The following is a 19,100-nucleotide window of genomic DNA, read 5'->3' as shown; positions in this document are numbered from 1 at the left end:
TTTTGTTGCCATTGCTTTTGGTGTTTTAGACATGAAGTCCTTGCCCATGCCTATGTCCTGAATGGTAATACCTAGGTTTTCTTCTAGGGTTTTTATGGTTTTAGGTCTTAGGTTTAAGTCTTTCTTTAGAAGGTGTAACATACTGTGAGCATCTCATAGGTTATTAGCAATGATCATCATAATGATAACAATTATACATTGAACCTTCTATGCCTTCATAGACACATGGATGTCTGTAATTTGACAAGAAATATCTCCTGGTATCTCACTCTCATTAACCAAAGAAAAACCGTGTTAAGCAGCAATAGCCTGCGGATATTTTCTTGTTAAGATCTTGCTTCCTAACACTGTTACAGTAGCACTGTGATGTGAAGAGTGAGAAATGGAGACACCACACATGGGATCCCTTGCATGCACTTCTTTATTTGTTGCCTCAACAAAACACTTCCCCACAGGCTTCTTTGGTAATTGCATAGAAGTGAGGCATGTTTTTTTCAGTCTCATATATTGATATTTTATTAGGCGAGATTTCTGGTCCTAAGGAGTACTTGGGCCCTGTAAAGTTCTCAGCAGGAGTGCCTATCTAAGGGAAGAAGCCATTGGGGGAATGGGTGACGCTATAATTGATAACCAGTTTCTCAACTTATTAGAACTCCAAAAGGATGGCAGAGGTTGAGTCCAATATAACCAGGAAGTATAAAGGCTAGTTAGAAGTAGCTCATGACGGCTAGCTTCCAAGCTACTCTTAGGTTTTGCTGTGTGAGCCCCATTTCTACATAGGAGGCTACTATCTAACCCGAGGAAAGTTAAGCCTTGAAAAAAATAAAAAAAAAAAAATCAGAAGGGGAAACCTTGAAATAGACTATTCAGAGAGACTATTGCAGGGGAATGAGTATGTAAACATGTCATACACCATTCAGATTTCCACTGAGCAATCCATCCAGCATCTTTTCCAAATGTTGCCTCTGTTGACAGAGCATGAGCTCTTTAGACTTGACCTCTGAGGTTTCCGATGTCCTCCATCACCTTTGTATTTTTTCCTGGAGTGGTCAGTTTTCGTGTGTGTGTGTGTGTGTGTGTGTGCGTGTGTGTGTGTGCGTGTGTGTGTGTGCGTGTGTGTGGTGTATGTGTGTGTGTGTTCCTCAAGAGCCATCTCTTTCAACAAAGCTATAGCAGTTCCTGTGAGCAGCAGAATTATGTTTTTTGTCTGTCTGTTAATGATCAGGGTAAAGATATTCTTTCTACATATCTCTTCTCTTCAGTGCAATCTTTAAATTGGTTAACTCACAGAATAGCCTGCTGAGAAGAAATATTTCGGAAATAATTAAACTGCAATCAGAAGTGAATGAGTCAGAACCTGGTGTTTCCAGGCTTCTTGGGGGGGGTGTCTAAGGAAGTACAGTTAGGGCAGAAAAGTTATATCTGTTTTTCAAAGGTGACAGGATGGGATTCAGATATGATGATATGATCCAAAAATATGAGTACTTAATGCCTCTTTGAGAGGCTATCTAGTTCATTTTATCCATCCTTTGTGTTCATAAAGACTTGAATCTCAGTGAACTTAAACAAACAAAAATCTCGTTATTCTTAGGAACTGAGTGGGAATGCAGCCCTGTGTTTAATAACATTTATTTTAGCTTAATTTCATTTTCTGTTTGCCTTTCTTTTAGGTTAACAATTCATGCTGAGTGTCCCATGCATTTGGAAGATTTTCCCATGGATGTGCATGCCTGCCCACTGAAGTTTGGAAGCTGTATGTATTTTCTCTCTCTCTCTCTGTCTTTTTTTTTTGCCTGATCTTCCAAAAGAAACTTAACATATTATATTCTGTCCACTGCAAGTTTCTAAAGCTGAGGCCTTTAATCCGGGCTGGTATCAGGGTGGGTCAGAGAGTGGGGTTGAGTAGTACTAACTAATCAGGGGGAGGAGACTTAGCCTTTAACAAGAATTTTCTTTCTAAGAAGTAAACTTTATTTTGCTATTTCAGACTAATTTCTCTGTCATTAGATTGAAACATTAATGTCTGTTTTCTAAATTGCCCAAAGGACAGAGCAAGACAGAAGTGATATAAAATACAGTCACAGCTACCTAAGGACAAGATATGTCAAACAGAATGTGGTTAGATTTTTTGAAGTGCGTATTCTACCTGCATCTTCATATACTTCTATCCAATTCTTAACAGTGTGTGATAGGCAGGAAGAGACTCTGAAGATTTGCTCACTTTTGAAAGTATTACCTTTTCCAGTAGCTGTACATTTTACAGAAAAAGTAGTAAATATATAGTCCATTTTCAAATGAATTAGAAAAATCAACATTGAATAGAATTTGAGTGAGTTTTTGAACTGAAAAATTTCAGAGTGAGTTTCACATAGAGAGTCATCAGAGTAATATACCAAAATCTGTGTTGATCATGTCAAAATTAATTTAGCTGTGTTTTGAAACAGAAAGTGCATTTGAAAAGACCCAAATAATTAAGTGCAACATGTTTCCTCAATCATTAGTTTTTCAGATCTTTACAGATTGTATTCTGTGTGCCAGGTTCTATTCTAGGAGCTTGGAATGCATCCGTGAATAAAACAAAAGCCTTGCTCTTTTGGAGCTATATTATAGAGAGACGAGTGGCAGTGAAAGATAAAATAATGGATTAAAGGGTAAAGCATAAGGCATGTTGTAATATGAGAAGCAACATGGGAAAACATAAAAGTACTGCAGAATTAGGGGAATCATCCATGCCTAGGTGGAGGATTTGTGTTACCACTGAAATTGAAAGTAGGGTGATTAGTGTCACCCTAATTATTTAAAAGGAACATTCAAGCAGAAATATTAAGAAAATAGAGAGCTTATCAATGCATATATATATATATATGGAAATAGAGCTCTCAGTAGAAGGAACAACCAGGAAAAATACCGTATGTCTGAAAAATAGGTGACTTGTTCAGCCAGTGTGGCTGGCCAGAGTGAGGAAGGGGAGAGCAGGAGAAAAGGATGAGATCAAAGTGGGGGCCAGGTAATCTAAAGTCTTATAGGCCATTAAAGGTCTTTGAATTATATTCTAAGGAAAAATGAAGAACAATTAGAATATTTTAGACAAAAGAATGGCATTATCTGACTTATGTCTTAAAATAATTACTAGGAATTTTTAAAATGATATAAGTAGAAGAGGGATCAAACCATGTGGAGCCCAAGTAGGAGGTGACTGCAATATTTCTGGGTAGGACAGAGTTGTTTATTGGTGAATAGTGTTCCCTTCATTAACAACTATAAAACCTAGAACCATAGAAACAATAAAGCTCAGTGAAGATTGAAGTGTCTAAAATTCTGGAGAAAGGGGAGAGCCTCTCATAGATGAAGTTGTGATCTACAGCTTTTTCAACTCTGGGGGCATTTGCCAGTTCTGGCCTTGGATTGCAGCTTGCTGGGCATAGGGCTCATACTGGTGGATGAGAAGAAACAGCAATGATTTGATGATCACACAGGGCTAGGGTGACACAAGGGAAATATCTGAAACATCTCAAATTAATGGCTGATCTCCCTCTCAATATATAATTGATGAATTTTGAATTTGCACAGAGCATGAGGACAAAAGCTAATATGAAAAAAGTTGAAAAGCAGAGCTTCCTTTTCTGCAGTCTTCCAGTACTAAAAAAAAAAAAGACATGCTAGACTACTAGTTTAAAATCCTAGAGAGCTATATCCTAGGAACAAGGCAATAGCAGAGACAGACTAGATTAGTCAAAACTATAACCCAGCACAAGTCCGTTATGAGATTAAGGTGATAATTCTCCCATACTTTCTGTATAGCAAAGTAAATAATGAAGACTCTACGGTGGAAAAGATACTTCTCTTTGAAAATACTACAGTTTTATACACAATGTATGGAATTCAATGAAAAATCAATAATCATATGAATAGGCAGGCCCATGAGACCTAAAACCAAGTTTTAAAACCAATGCCAAAAACCAAAATATATAAACAGACCTACAGGTGATTTAGACGTCAGAGTTTGTAGACAAGGACTTTAGAATGCTATGGCTAATATATTCAAGAAAAAAAAAGGAAGTGATTACTAAAGCAGATCAAATACCTATAATTTTAACAGAAAATTGGAACCTATAAAGAAGAATAAATTAGAATTACAGGGAAGTACAATATCTTAAATTCGAATTCAATGGATAGATTTGACAAGCAGAAGGCAGGATCAGATGACTGAAAAATTGATAAATAGAAAAAAGCAGAACTGAAGGATAGAAAGATAAATACACAAACAAGTAAAAAGCGTGTGGGTCATAGTAAGGGAATATAAATCATCCTATTATAAAGACACATGCACACGTATGTTCATCGCAGCACTACTCACAATAGCAAAGACATGGAATCAACCTAAATGCCCATCAATAATAGACTGAATAAAGAAAATATAGTACATATACACCATGGAATATTCTGCAGCCACCAAAAAAGAACGAGATCTTGTCCTTTGCAGGGACATGCATGGAGCTGGAGGCCATTATCCTTAGCAAGCTAACACACGAACAGAAAACCAAATACCACAAGTTCTCACTTATAAGCAGGCGCTAAATGATGAGAACACATGGACACACAGAGGGGAACACCACACACTGGGGTTTTTGGAGGGTGGGAGGAGACAGAAGATCAGGAAAAATAACTAATGGGTACTAATCTTAATACCTGGGTGATGAAATAATCTGTACAGGAAACCCCCATGACACAGGTTTACCTATGTAACAGACCTGCACATCCTGCATATGTACCCCTGAACTTAAAATAAAAGTTAATAAAAGAAATTGCAATGTGTAATTTGCAGAGGATAAACAGGCAGATAAAGGAGCAAAAGCAATAATTAAGTAAAGGCCAGACACTTTAAAACTGATGAAAATTATCAGCCCAAATACTCAAGAAATCATATAAACATGAAGCAGCATAAATAGAATGAAAAAATGCTTATTCTAAAGTTTATATGGAAATATTTAAAGTAACAAGAATAGTTAAGGAGATCTTAAAGAATCATAAAGCTGGGAAATTTACATTAAAATCTAATCTGATATCAGATATCTAGAGGTATTTTGAAGTTACAGTAATTTAGAAAAGGTATTATTGTTGCAAAGTAGACAAATATACTCATGGAACAGAATAGAAGAGAGAGAGAGAACGAGAGAGAGAGAGACAGAGAGAGAGATTCATCTTGACTCTTACATCACATGATAAACAAAAATAAATTCCAGATGGTTTCCACATCTAAATGTGAAAGAGTGAAAGATAAAACAATCCAGCTTTTATTAATAGAAGAAAGCATAAGAGAGTATCTCCATGATCTTGGAAAAGGTAGAGACTGCTTACACAGGACATAGACTAACATTAACCATAAAGGTAAAATAGAATGACTTAAAATATATTAAAAATTAAGAAATTTTCTTTATTAGAAGATCATTAAGAGAGTGAGTAGAAGCCACAGAGAGGGAGAAAGTATTTGCATTGCATATGCCTAACAAAGGACTCAAAAGCATAAGACATCCTGCAAATCTATATAAAAAGTATCTGAAACCTCGATAGAAAAAAGGCCAAAGTCTTTAATAGGCACTTGTTAAAACAGTTTCCCAAGCTCAGAAACACACACACACACAGGCACACACACGCACATGCACATGCACACAGGCACAGACAGACACACACACACACAGTGACTGATTGCATTAGTCAGCAGGGAAATGCAAAATAAAATCCAAAGGCTACCAGTACACACCCATTAGAATGACTAACATAAAAAAGACAGAAAATACCACTTCTTGGTGAGGATGTTGAGCAAATCTGGACTCTCATGCGCTACTGATAAGAATCTACGTTTGTACCAAGGTTTTGGAAAATTGTTTGGTGCTATTTAATAGTGCTATACATGTGCATATCATACAACTTTGCATCTCTAGTCCTGAGTATAGTTCCAAACAGGCATCATTGTTTATGTATACCAAAAGGCATATAAAGAATGTCCATAGCAGAGCTCATTGTAATAAACTCCACTGGGAACTACCTTAATGTCCATCAGAATGGATTGAAAAGCTGTAGCATAGTCACGCAATGAAATACTATACAGCAATGACAATTATATTACACTCAACAACATGGATGAGGTACAGCCACAATGCTGAGCAAAAGCCAAACACATAAGTGTATATAGAATCTGATTCTATTTATGCTATATATACAAACAGGCAAAACTAATATGTGCTGTTAAAAGTCTTTAATATTTTATCCATCATTGCCGTTGGTTGTATTTCCAGATTCCTGACAGATTAAGCAATGGGATTCAGGAACAAGAAGTTGGAATTCCTAGGTATTTTATAAATTCAATGTTATTCTTAAAACACTTTCAAACTTCTTAACGCTCTTTATCCATAATCATGGATATCTAACTTTTAATAAATAAAAATATTAATAGTAACTTTAGAAGTATTCAGAAAGAGTGGTAATATATGGAAAGATTACTCAGACACTGGAAAATGATAGCAAACTGATAGTATTTGAATAACAACATTTGAATTTCTTAATAAAGTAAACAGCACTACACAGAATCACTCATCCAAATTGCCAGTTTAAGGATTGATTTTGCTTCTTAAACTTGTTATGTATTAGAAGAACACTCTCAGGGTTTGTGTATAGTATATAGTGCTTTATGCATTTAGAATACTGTGTGTGTAGTATACTATACATATAAAATACTATGTGTATAGTATACTTATGCATATAGACTTACTAATATTAAATTTTCAAGAATTACCATCAGCAGCATAGAGGGCCATTAACACACATAATAAGCAAAATCAACTGATCAGGTTGTGACCACTTTAATCCTATGTACTTCTGTCCTGACACCAGAGAATTTCAAAACTTTTAACTCAGTGTGACAGTGTTTCCTGCTCTTGGTTTTGACTTAACATCAATAGATTCCTTCAAATTAGTAAAGTCTCTATGTCTATTGTTAAGCTTTAATTCTTACAAGATGATTATAATACTTTTTTCTGGTTTTGCTCATTTCTCAAGTATTTTTCTCTGGATTTGATATTCAGAAAAATATCTATCTTTCTCAACACAATGTCAGGAAGGAGTTTCCACATAGAAGCACTAGTCAGGATAGTGGTTACCCTTGATGAGGGTTGTTATTGGAAAGGGAAGCAAATGATACTCCTGGGTGCTGATTATCTGGAATGTAACTTCGGTGTTCATAAAAGAGATCTGGATTGGAGATTTAATTTAGGTGTCATCCACATAGATGATGTTTAAAGCCATACAACTAGATGAGATCACTATGGAAATGACTATATACAGAGAAGAGAAGAGAATCAAGGAAGGACTTTTTCTTTAGACATGATAACATTTAGAAGCTAGAAAGAAGAGAATAATTTAATAAACGTGAAGGCGAAGACAGGTGACGTATGAGAAAACCTAAAGGGAACGTGTTGTCCTGGAGGCCAAATAAAGTACATCAAGAAGGAGAGTGATTTAAATTATTAAGTTCCTAAATGGGCAGTTAAAATTAATCTTAGAAAACCTCTAGTGAGGAAGCAATTCTGGAATGACAGAGTTAGAACTTCTGAAAATCCACTCCTCCATAAAAGCAATGAGACAATTTTCAAACATTGTCAAAATAAACTTTCTCCAAACTCCGGAAATTAACAAAAGTCTCCTAACACTCTGAAGAGCGTTATTCAAGAAAAATGATTAGTTCTCAGTACAACCAGGGAGCCCTATTCCCATCCTCTTCTTTCCTCCTCTGTAGAAGCCTTGAAGATTTTGTCATGATGAAAAGGTCAATCCATCAGAAAAAAGTATAACAATTATAAAGAAATACACACTTAAACACAGAGCCCCAAAATACATGAAGCAACACTGATAGAACTGAAGAGAAAAATAAGACAATTCAACAGTAATAATTAGAGATTTCAGTATTCCACTTTCAATACATGGATAGAACATCTAGGCAGATCAACACAGAAATACAAGATTTGAACAATTCTATAAACCAATTAGACATAACCAACATCTATAGAGCGTTCCACCAAACAACATAAGACTGAACATTATTCTCAAGTGCACATGGAACATTTTCTGAGGTAGACCATATATTAGGTTATACAATAAGACTCAATAAATTTTAAAGTATTGGAACCATACAAAGTACATTTTCTTACCCAGAATTAGAAATCAGTAAGAAAAGGAAGTTCGCAAAATTTACAAATATGTTGAGATCGAACAACACATTCCCCTCCTAAACAGACAATGATCCAAATAAAAAATCACAAAGGGAATTAGAAAATATTTTGAAACAAATGAAAATGATGACATAACACACCAAAACTTATGGGATGCATCAGCTTAAAGCAGTGCTTAGAGGGAAATTTATAACTGTAAAACCTATATTTAAAAGAGAAATCTAAAATCAATAACCTGAATTTCCACCTTAAGAGACTAGAAAAAGAAGACCAAACTAAATCCAAAGCAAGCAGAAGGAAAAAATAATAAATATTAGAGTAAAAATAAATAAAATAAAGAATTTTAAAAATTAAAGAAAATAAAAAAATCTAAAAGTTATTTGAAAAGATCAGCAAAACTGATAAACCTTTCACCAGACAGACGAAGCAAATAAAAGAATAGAATCACATTACTAAAAGCCTGAAAGAAGGCACATCATACTTGCCTTACAGAAATAAGCAGGATTTTATGGGAATACTATGAGCAACTGTACACCAACAAATTAGGTAACCTAGATGAAATGAAAAAAAGTCATAGAAATATACAAACTGATGGAACTGACTGAAGGAGAAATAGAAGTTTTCATTGACCCTATACTAAGTAAATAGGTTACATTAGTAATTTAATAACTTCTCATAAAGAAAAGCCCACCATTAGATCTAAGGCTTCACCATTGAATTGTACAAAACACTTGAAGAAGACTTGATACCAATCAATACCAGGTTTTCACAAATAATTCTTCCAAAATATAGAAGGGGAAAGAACATTTCTTAATTCATTCTATGAGGCCAGTGTTACCCTGATATCAAAACCAAAGGTAACTAAAAAATACAACTATAGGCAAGTATTTCTTATAGACAAGTATTTCTTATGAGTATAGACACAAAAATCTTCAGTGAAACTCTAGCAACGGATTCAAGCAACTTATAAAATGGATTATACATCATTTTTAAGTGAGATTTTTCCCAGGAATACAAAGTTGGCTCAACAACTGAAAACCATTCAACCTAATATGACATATTAATAAAATGGACAAAAACCACACGATCATCTCAATACATGAGGAAACATATATACTCTGCACTAGAAATCCAAAATTTTCTTAATTTGCCAGTAACTAGTGGCTATAACTTGTCCTGTCATTGTGAATAATAAAAGTTTTGATAATTGCAATTATTTGATTAAGTTATAAACCAATATAGTACCAGTTTCCATTTGCTTTTATATATACCAGCCTCAGGCTGTAGCTTTCAGATTCATCAGAACTCCTAAATTTTTTAAAAATTATTTTCGTTTTAATTGACAAATAAGTGTGTATACTTTTTGGGTACAATTAGATGTTTCAATAAATATATATATTGTGTAATGATCAAATCAGGGTATTTAACATTTCCATTATCTTAAATATTTATCGTGTATTTGTGATGAGAACATTCAAAATCCTCTCTTCTGGCTATTTTGAAATATATCATACAATATTTTAAAAATATAATCAGTCTTCTGCACAATAGCACACCAGAACTTATTCCTTCTATCCAACTGTACCTTGTACCCATTAATCAATCTCCCTCCATTAACCAAGCTCTCTCCAGGCCCTCTCTCTTCTCCTTCCCCAGCCTCAGGTAACCGCCATTCTATTCTCTACTTTTATGATATATCTATTTTAGATTATGTATATGAATGATACAATGCAACATTTGTCTTTCTGAGCCTTGCTCACTTCATTTAACATAATGTCCTGCAATTTTATCCACATTGCCACAGATAATAGGATTTCATTCTCTTTTTATGGCTGAATAGCATTCCATTGTGTGTGTGTGTGTGTGTGTGTGTGTGTGTGTGTGTGTGTGTGTGTGTGTGTTTATATATTATATAACATTTTCTTATTCATTCATTCATTGATGGACACTTGGATTGATTCCATATCTTGGCTGTTTTGAACAGTGCTAAAATAGTAATTGAAGTATAGATATCTGTTGAACATATTCACTTTATTTATTTTGGGTGTATACCCAGTAGTGGAATTGCTGGATATTATGGTAATTCGGTTTTTAATTTTTTGAGGAAACTCAATACTTTTTTTCATACTGGCAGTACCAATTTGCATTCTCACCAACAGTGTATAAGAAAGAGTTCCCCTTTCTTCTCATCTTTTCCAGCACTTGTTCTCTTTTGTCTTTTTGATAATAGTCATTCTAACCAGGGTGAGATGATATCTAATTGTGGTTTTGATTTGCATCTCTGTAATGATTAGCGATATTGGGCATTTTTTATATACCTGGAGGCCATTTGTATATCTTCTTTTGAGAGAAGTCTATTAAGGTCTTTTGCCCATTTTTAAAATCAGATTTTTTTATATTATTTGAGTTCCTTAGATATACTGGATATTAACCCCTTATCAGATGTATACTTCGAAAATATTTTTCCCATTCTGTGTATTTTCTGTTCACTCTGTTGATTGTTTCACTTACTCTACAGAAGATTTTTAGTTTGATAAAATTCCATATCTCTACTTTGCTTTTAATGCCTGTGCTTTGGTATTGTTATCTAAAAGATCCTTGCCCAGATGACTAATGGCATGGAGAATTTCCCCTACATTTTCTTCTAGTAATTTTATAGCATTGGGTTTTACATTTAAGTCATTAATCCATTTTGATTCCATTTTTTATAGTGAGAGATAAGGGTTTAGTCTCATTCTTGTACATGTGGACATGCAGTTTTCTCAGCACCATGTTGAAAAGACAAGTGGGATTCATCCCAGGGATGCAAAAATGGTTGAAAACATACAAATGAATAGATGTGATACATGACATCAACAAAATGAAGGACAAAAAACACGGTCATTTCAATAGATGAAGAAAATAATATTCAACATCTCTTCCTGATGAAAGCTCTTAACTAATTAGGTATAGAAAAAGAATGTACCTCAACACAATAAAGGCCATATATGACAAACCTACAGCAAACATCATACTGAATGGAAAAGGCTGAGAGCTCTTTTCTAAGATCTGAAACTGTGAAACAAGGCAAGGATACCCAGTCTCACCACTTCTCACAACTAGTGGTGAGAAGTCCTAGAGGTACTAGAAGTCCTAGCCAGAGCAATTAGGCAAGAGAAAGAAATAAAAGGCATCCAAATTGGAAAGGAGGAAGTCAAATTGTCCCTGTTTGCAGATGACATAATCATATAAAAAAATATATATATATATATATCCATACACACATACATATATGTGTGTGTATATATATATGTGTGTGTGTGTGTATACATATATCCCTAAAGAACTAAACAAAAATTTGTTAGAATTAAGAAAATAAGCAACGTGGAAGGATACAAAATCCACATACAAAAGTCAGTACCATTTCTATATGCCAATAGTGAACTATTTGAAAAAAGAAAGTGATTCCATTTACAATAGCTACAAAACAATAAAATTCTAGGAATAAATTTAACCAAGGAGGTAAAAGATCTCCACAATGAAAACTATAAACATTGATTAGAAAAATAGAGGAAGACACAAATAAATAGAAAGACGTCTTGTGTTCATGGACTGGAAGAACTGATATTGTTAAAATGTTCATGCTACCTAAAGCAATCTACACATTCAATACGATTGCTATCAAAACACCAATGACATGCTTCCTGAAATAGAAAAAACATTCTAAAATTCATATGAAACCACAAAAGACCCCACATCTCCAAAACCATACTGAGCAAAAGGATTAAAGCTGGGGACATCACACTACCTGACTTCAAAATATACCACGAAGCTATAGTAACCAAAACAGCATGGTAGTGGCATAAAAACTGACACACAGAACAATGGAACATAAAAAGACACCTACAATTGTATGTTTATCACAGCACTATTCACAATAGCAAAGTCATGGAATCAACCTAAATGTCCATCAGTGGATGACTGGATAAAGAAAATTGCTATATATATATTTACAAACACATACACAGACACCATGGAATACTACTCAGCCATAAAAAGGATGAAATCATGGTCTGCTGCACCATAGATGGAACTAGAGGCCACTATCCTAAGTGATATAGCTCATAAACTCGAATACCGCATATTCTCACTTATAAGTGGGAGCCAAATAATGGATACACATGGATACAGAGAGTGGAATAATACACACTGGAGATTCCAAAAGGTGAGAGGGTATGAGGGGGTGAAGATTGAAAAAATACCTGTAGGGTGCAATGTTTCGTATTTGGGCAATGGGTACACTAAAAGCTCAGACTTGTCCACTACACAATATATCAGTTTAACAAAACTGCACTTGTACTCTCCAAATCTATAAAAATAAAAAAAAAGGAATAGAGAATACAGAAATAAACCTACATATTTACAGCCAACTGATTTTTGACAAAAGCACCAAAATACACATTAAGGGAAGGACAGTCTCTTCAACATATGGTGCTGAGAAATCTGGAGAATCCTTGGATTTTTACCATGTCCAAACCAAACTTAAGTTCCTTTCACTAAAACTCTTTGTGATCTCTATCTTGGTTTATATCCTGTATTCTGGTTACCTACCTCCTCAATCTTATATCATATCCCTTTCCCCATTACATTGGCCTTCTGCCAGTTCCTAGAACTCTTTACCACGTAGAAGACTTTGCATTTGCTGGTTTTGGGGGGTTGCGGAGGTTTAGTTGTTTTGTTATTATTTTGGCCTGAAATGTTTTCCATCAAGCTCTTGCATGACTGACTCCTTCTCATTTCTTAATGTTTTAGATTAGAAACCACCCTCAGAGAGATCTTCTCTTACCACTGTATCTAATGACACCCCTCCTCACCCTGTAACTCTATTTTCTTCATAGCATGCATCACTCTGTTACTATATTATTTATTTACTTGTTTATTGTCAGTCTTTTCTCACTAGACTGTAAGCTCAATGAGGTGATGAGGCCTCAGATGTTTTATGATCGCTGTATCTTCACTATCTAATATGATGCCTTGATATTTGTTGAACGGGTAACTGATTAAATCAATTAAGCAAGTGGTTTCTGACAATATTTCAAAAGAAATGCTTTCTCATTTGTGCTAACATGGCAAGATTGTTTGTTACTTCCTTTTTTCCTGGGGTCTGTTACATACCAAGGCTCAGATAACAGAAGGAGGCATTTTGCTAAGCAACTAAAGACAAGGAGTTGCTTTTGCCATTATAGCTCATGAAATATATTGAGGGGCCCATTCAGCGAGTGCAAAAGTTCTAATTGTCAGGTAGATATCCTTTCTTCAGGAACCAGTCCCTCCACCCTACCCCAGCTCCTCTATGGAAATAGAATGATTGGAATTGAGATGAGGGGGCAGTTTTATAGGAGAGAAGCTGAGGAATTAAAGGAGCCCAAATCCGTGGAAGAAGGAAAGCAGAAGGAGGTCTAACTGGGAAGAATTCTGCTCCCCAGTGGGTGAATAAATTCCATCATTATCCATGTACTTGGAAAAGCTACAATGTTAGGATCATGTAGAATCTTTTTAAAATGTCCTTTTTCCTTTCTTAAGCACCATGAAAAGTCAAAAATTATAATCATTTCTACTTCTGAAATCGCTCTGTCCCACTCAGTTCAACCCACTGTCTAGTATATTATGCCTATGGGTCACTGACACCAAAAGGCATTGTGATGACCTTTTAAATACTGTCTTGGCTTCAGTTTCACTCTTTTCCACCAGCCATCCTTACGGCAGCTAGGGTGATCCTTCCCAAGCTTATATCTGGTCATGTCATCTCTCTCCTTTAGGCATGTCCACAACTCGTGTGTACACACATGTATGTACACACGTGCGTATTCCAACAGAGGTTCCCACTTTCCCATTAGAAGTTTCTTCTGGGGACTATATAATAAAAACAAGAAATCCAGGACTGCAAAAACCCTTAGTTCTTAGGGTAGGCAATTTGGAATTTTTTTTTTTTTTTTTTTTTTTTTTTTTTTTTTTTTTTTTTTTTTTGAGACAAAGGCCTTGCTCTATTGCCTGGGCTGGAGTGCAGTGGTTCAATCACAGCTCACTGTAGCCTTGAACTCCTGGGCTTAATTGATTCTCCTGCCTCAGCCTCCTGAGCAGCTGGGGCTACAGGCATGTGCCACCATGCCCAGCTAATTTTTAATTTTTTTTGCAGAGACGGTTTCCTTCTATGTTGCCCAGGTTGTTCTCAAACTCTTGGCCCCATGCAATCCTCCTGCATTGGCCTTCCAAGGTGCTGGGATTACAACATAAGCCACTGCACCCAGACTAACTTGGATATTTTATGCTATTTATTAAGCTTCCTTCTGGCCTGTGACTCCAGTGATACTATTAATTCCTTTACCGCTCCATGTGCTCACATACTTTTTGCCTTGGCTATGTTGTTCTTTTGCTAGGAATGTCCTTCTTTCACCTACTAAAGGTGGCCTCATCTTCTGAGTATCATTTACTTTAAGAATCCTTCTGTAACACCCCACTCTGAGCAGGAGCAATAGTGCTCACCTCTGGTTTTACTTAACACTTGTGTTTATTTTACTAGTGTGCATACTCCTATATTCCAAATTGCACTACAGCCATTGTGCTTTCTCTGTCTCCCCAAGTAAATTGTGGGCTTCCTGATGTGATGGTGGCTACTGTGCCTTCACAGACTTTGTTTACCAGTACAGGTCAGGCTCCAAGCAGACACTCAATTGAGTAGTTTTCAACTTGTTTTTGTTTTTATTTTTAAATTCACATCTTCGTCTTCCACTTATTCATGTCTTTCCTGCTTTGCCCTCTATCTTATGAGAAGAGGGTATTTTTTTCTCCTCAAATCCCTCTGTTCCCATATATTATTGCCAAAGAAATTAAATCGCTGCTTTTTGCATGAAGTAAGGTGCTAGTCTGGAGAAGTGAATTTTCTGAGATACCGATAGCTACACAGTTTGTCGTCACATCTGCCTTAGGGTCTGCTTGGATTTTCAGGGTGAATATTCAGTGTTGTCTGTGCCAGGTACTCAACTTAAGTTAAGAGATCCAGCAAGAAATTCCTTTTCTTTTTTAGGGGTGGAAACAAAATCTTCCATTGCTTACTCTTTCCCTGAACGAACCTGTTCTAGTTTTTACACTGCCAAAATCTTGGGTAGATTGGATAGAACATGGCACTATCTTTAAACAAAAAGTGTTACAACCATCTGAATAGCAAAGGTAAGAAGACCTATACAGATGGTTCCCTGCTTAGGAGTAGGGGTACCCCAAGCATATGTACTAAAGATAAAAGACTCTGGGGAAAAATGAGAGCACAAGGGTCTTGTGAAATCACATTTCGCAGACCGTGTTATGACTGCCTCATATAATATCAGTGTAAATTTTAGGTAAGGGTATGAGAAGGGTTCTGAGAAGATTTTCCTTTCTTCTTGGTGATAATAGTTTAAAGGTCCACAAATCAAGCTGAGAGCCCTAGATATCCCATAAGTAGAAGAGGATGCTTTGTTTTTAAGGTGGAATTATAAGGAATCATAGCCATCTATAGGAGAAAGTCTCTAGACCATAGGTTATAAATTGGGAGCTTCAGGTGTGACTTGTTTGATCCATACACAGTTTACAACTTTTAAAATTATTTGCTAAGATTTTAAATTTGTGAGATGTCATATAAAATTCCACATTTGCTTATTATTTCACAAAATCAGAAGACTGACAACACACTGGGCTCAAATCCTACATGGCTTCAATCAATCGAGGCCAAATAGTGACCATCCCTTGTAGATGAGGGTATGCTTTCCCTTTCCTCATAACCTCCATCACTTTCACCTTGCTCCCTGAAAAGGGAGTATAGTATCAGTTGCCAGTAATCATCTCACTTGCACTTTTGTTTTACTTACAAGAGAATTAAGAGCTCCCAGTAGAAATGAGGAAAATGAAAGCGTTCTTGTACCATATCTATCAATTTTTTTAAAAAATTAAGACATGCTGAGATGGCTATATTTTAAACAAGATGGGAGAATTTACATTTTCTTATAGAAATAAAGGATATTTTCACATCTTTAAGCACACAAAGTATGCTTTTGTTGAAAACAAAACTTCATATATCAAAATTATGCTATTCATTACAAAAAACTATGATTTATATATAGAAAAAATGCACAATGAAAATATTAATTAAAAAACATTGAAAGTTAGGTTTTGCGCTTCAATGCATACACTAAATGTTATTGCTAGAAAATGTGGTTATGCTTTCAGCAACAAACCTTTATAGGCATCAAAATATTTCATAGATACCAAACTTGTAAAAAAAAGTCTATTAATTGTATCAGAAATTATGTGTCCAACTAGAAATCTTGTTGTTGTTGTGTTGAAGAAATGACTGAGACTATATACAAGGCAAATTATGTGGAAAAGTTAAACTTCCTGTGATATTTTCCTTTGCAGCTTATGAGAGCACAGATATAAAAAATACCATAGAGTTATGAATATTTGTTCATGATGTCAGTGAGAATTTTGATGTGATTGGAGAAATTTTTAGCATGTTGCTCATTACAAACAAAGCAGGAAATGACTTATTTAGGTGTATTGAAAAAGTTTTAAAAAGTGTAATGTAAGCAGATCACAATTGGTACCCATGAATAGCTGTTAATGTCAGACTTGTGAAATGTATATCCAATGTTGCAAAGTTTTGCAGGGACCCAGCATTTATATTTGTTTATTGGCAGATTCACCAGAAATTATTTGCTTTGTGGTAGAAGGTTTCAATAGAGTATATTAGGGGTATAGTAGTTGCCACCATGAGCTGGAGGAACCCCTCTTCCCCTCTGGCTTGAACAACAGGCAGCTCAAAACTTGAAGGAAAAGGGTATACAGTATGCGGTCAGCTTCCCTTTATGAGCCTGGGTGCCTGAGTTAGGGCAAGTACTCACCCTAGATATAAAATCCACGGTGGAAAGAGTTAACCATGTCAGGGAAGGAATCAACTCATTTCTTTAATATACTGACTAAAGTTAAATAACCCCACCTCATTTCTGACCATTTCCCTTACTCACGCCCCTGTTAATCTATACAAATTCTGTACTTGACATTGGAATTCTAAATACAAGCCTTGACATTAATGCTGATGCAAAAGAAAAGGTGTCAGGTAGGTGTCTTGTTTGCATATCAAACTGATAATAAGTTATGAAAGAAAATCAATTATTGTAATTTTAATTTGGAATTTTTCTTTTTTAACTTAAAATATCACTAGTTTGAATTTTTGCTTTCTCTGATATGCTCACCCCATAATTAATTGAATTTGTACTACTTTTCTGCCAGCTTATTTTTCTTATAATTAGCCTCATTTACTTATTCAAGGTACCTCTGTGTTAGTCTGTTTTGCTTTGCTGTGAAGGAATACCTGAAGCTAGGTAAATTATAAAGAAAAGAGTTTTATTTGGTTCATGGTTATGGGGGGCTGTACAAGAAGCATGGAGCCAGCATCTGCATTTTGTAAGGACCTCAGGAAGCTTTTACTCATGGTGAAAGGCAAAGCAAGCCAGCGTGTCACATGAAAAGAGGGAGCAAAAGAGAGAAGGCGGTGCAAGGCTCGTTGAAAACAATCAGATAGCCTGTGAACTAATACAGCAAGAATTCACTCATTACTGGAGGGGGGTGTCACCAAGCCATTTGTGAGGAATCTGCCTCCATGACTCAAACACCTCCCACTGCACCCCACTTCCAACACTGGGGTTTGCATTTTAACATAAGAATTGGAGGGGTCGAATATCCAAATTTTGTCAACCTCTATGGCTCCTGTAGGCATTTGAGTCTGTGACATCTACATGAGATAATATTTTAGCCATTCCTCCCCCTGCCCCTACTGTCTACTGTCCAACAGAAGAAAAAGTTTATTGGCAGTCTAGAAGACAGTCATTGAAGTATGAGAACACTTTGGGTTCATTTCTATGTACACAGCATATACTACAGTAGCTGTTCAATGAGAGTTTATTGTATGGATGGATGGATGGATGGACGGATGGATGGACTTCAGTTGAAGACAGACCACATACCCAGAACTCTTTGAAGATGGAAGTTTTATTTCGATCTCATTTGAGTTTAGTATCAAGGGTAATCATTCTCCATTTCCTTCAACTTCTCTTTATTGACCCTTCTCTGCCTTAGATGCCTATACAACAGCTGAAGTGGTTTATTCTTGGACTCTCGGAAAGAACAAATCCGTGGAAGTGGCACAGGATGGTTCTCGCTTGAACCAGTATGACCTTTTGGGCCATGTTGTTGGGACAGAGATAATCCGGTCTAGTACAGGTATTTAACTTATTTTATTTAACAAACATTTCTGTAACCTATACCACATGCCAGTCACTGTTCTAAGTGCTTATAACTTACTTAATCTTCAAAACAATGTTGTGACAAAGATAGTATTATCATGAGAAAACTGAGTATATAAAAGTTCAGTAATTTGCTCCTTGTCACAGTTATGCAATGGCAAAACGAAAATGAACACTTGTCAGATTGGCTCCCAAGACCATCCTCTTAACCACGATTGCCTGCTGCCTCTTGAAGAGTGGTGCAGAAGGTGAAGGGCATTAGGGCTAGAGTATGAGAAGAGAAAGCAGATGAAGGCCATGGTGGGGGAAGAGCTGAGCTTTGTTCCTAAAGATTTCATTAAAATAATTGCTTAACTCAGCCTGTGCTGAGGTGGCACATTAACTAATCCCAGAAAAGGTCAAGCACACAGCCAGGATGCCCAGGGAGTAGCCATGGAATTATTTTCTTAAGGGGATCACGTAACTCAGAAAAAAGCTTGGTTGGCAAAACCTGCTAGGTTTTATCAATGGCTAACTCTTGGATATTGACAAATGAAACTAGAGTTTTGTTCTGTGGCCTTAA

At 35.8% G+C, this 19,100-nt stretch overlaps 1 protein-coding gene across 2 annotated transcripts in view; it reads left to right on the top strand.

Annotated features, from left to right (window-relative positions):
• The window catches only part of GABRA3 (gamma-aminobutyric acid type A receptor subunit alpha3), a 285,082-nt gene that overhangs the window by 224,800 nt on the left and 41,182 nt on the right, over positions 1 to 19,100 (top strand). For both annotated transcript variants that reach the window (XM_006724811.4, NM_000808.4), the window contains exons 6-7: positions 1,671 to 1,753; positions 18,372 to 18,515. In XM_006724811.4, the coding sequence (XP_006724874.1) occupies positions 1,671 to 1,753; positions 18,372 to 18,515 (227 nt within the window). The remainder of the gene's footprint in view (positions 1 to 1,670; positions 1,754 to 18,371; positions 18,516 to 19,100) is intronic.

Source organism: Homo sapiens, chromosome X, assembly GCF_000001405.40.
Source record: "Homo sapiens chromosome X, GRCh38.p14 Primary Assembly".
NCBI classification, from domain to species: domain Eukaryota; kingdom Metazoa; phylum Chordata; class Mammalia; order Primates; family Hominidae; genus Homo; species Homo sapiens.
The sequence above is the reverse complement of the archived record's forward strand: the minus strand, read 5'-3'. Positions and strand labels throughout refer to the sequence as shown.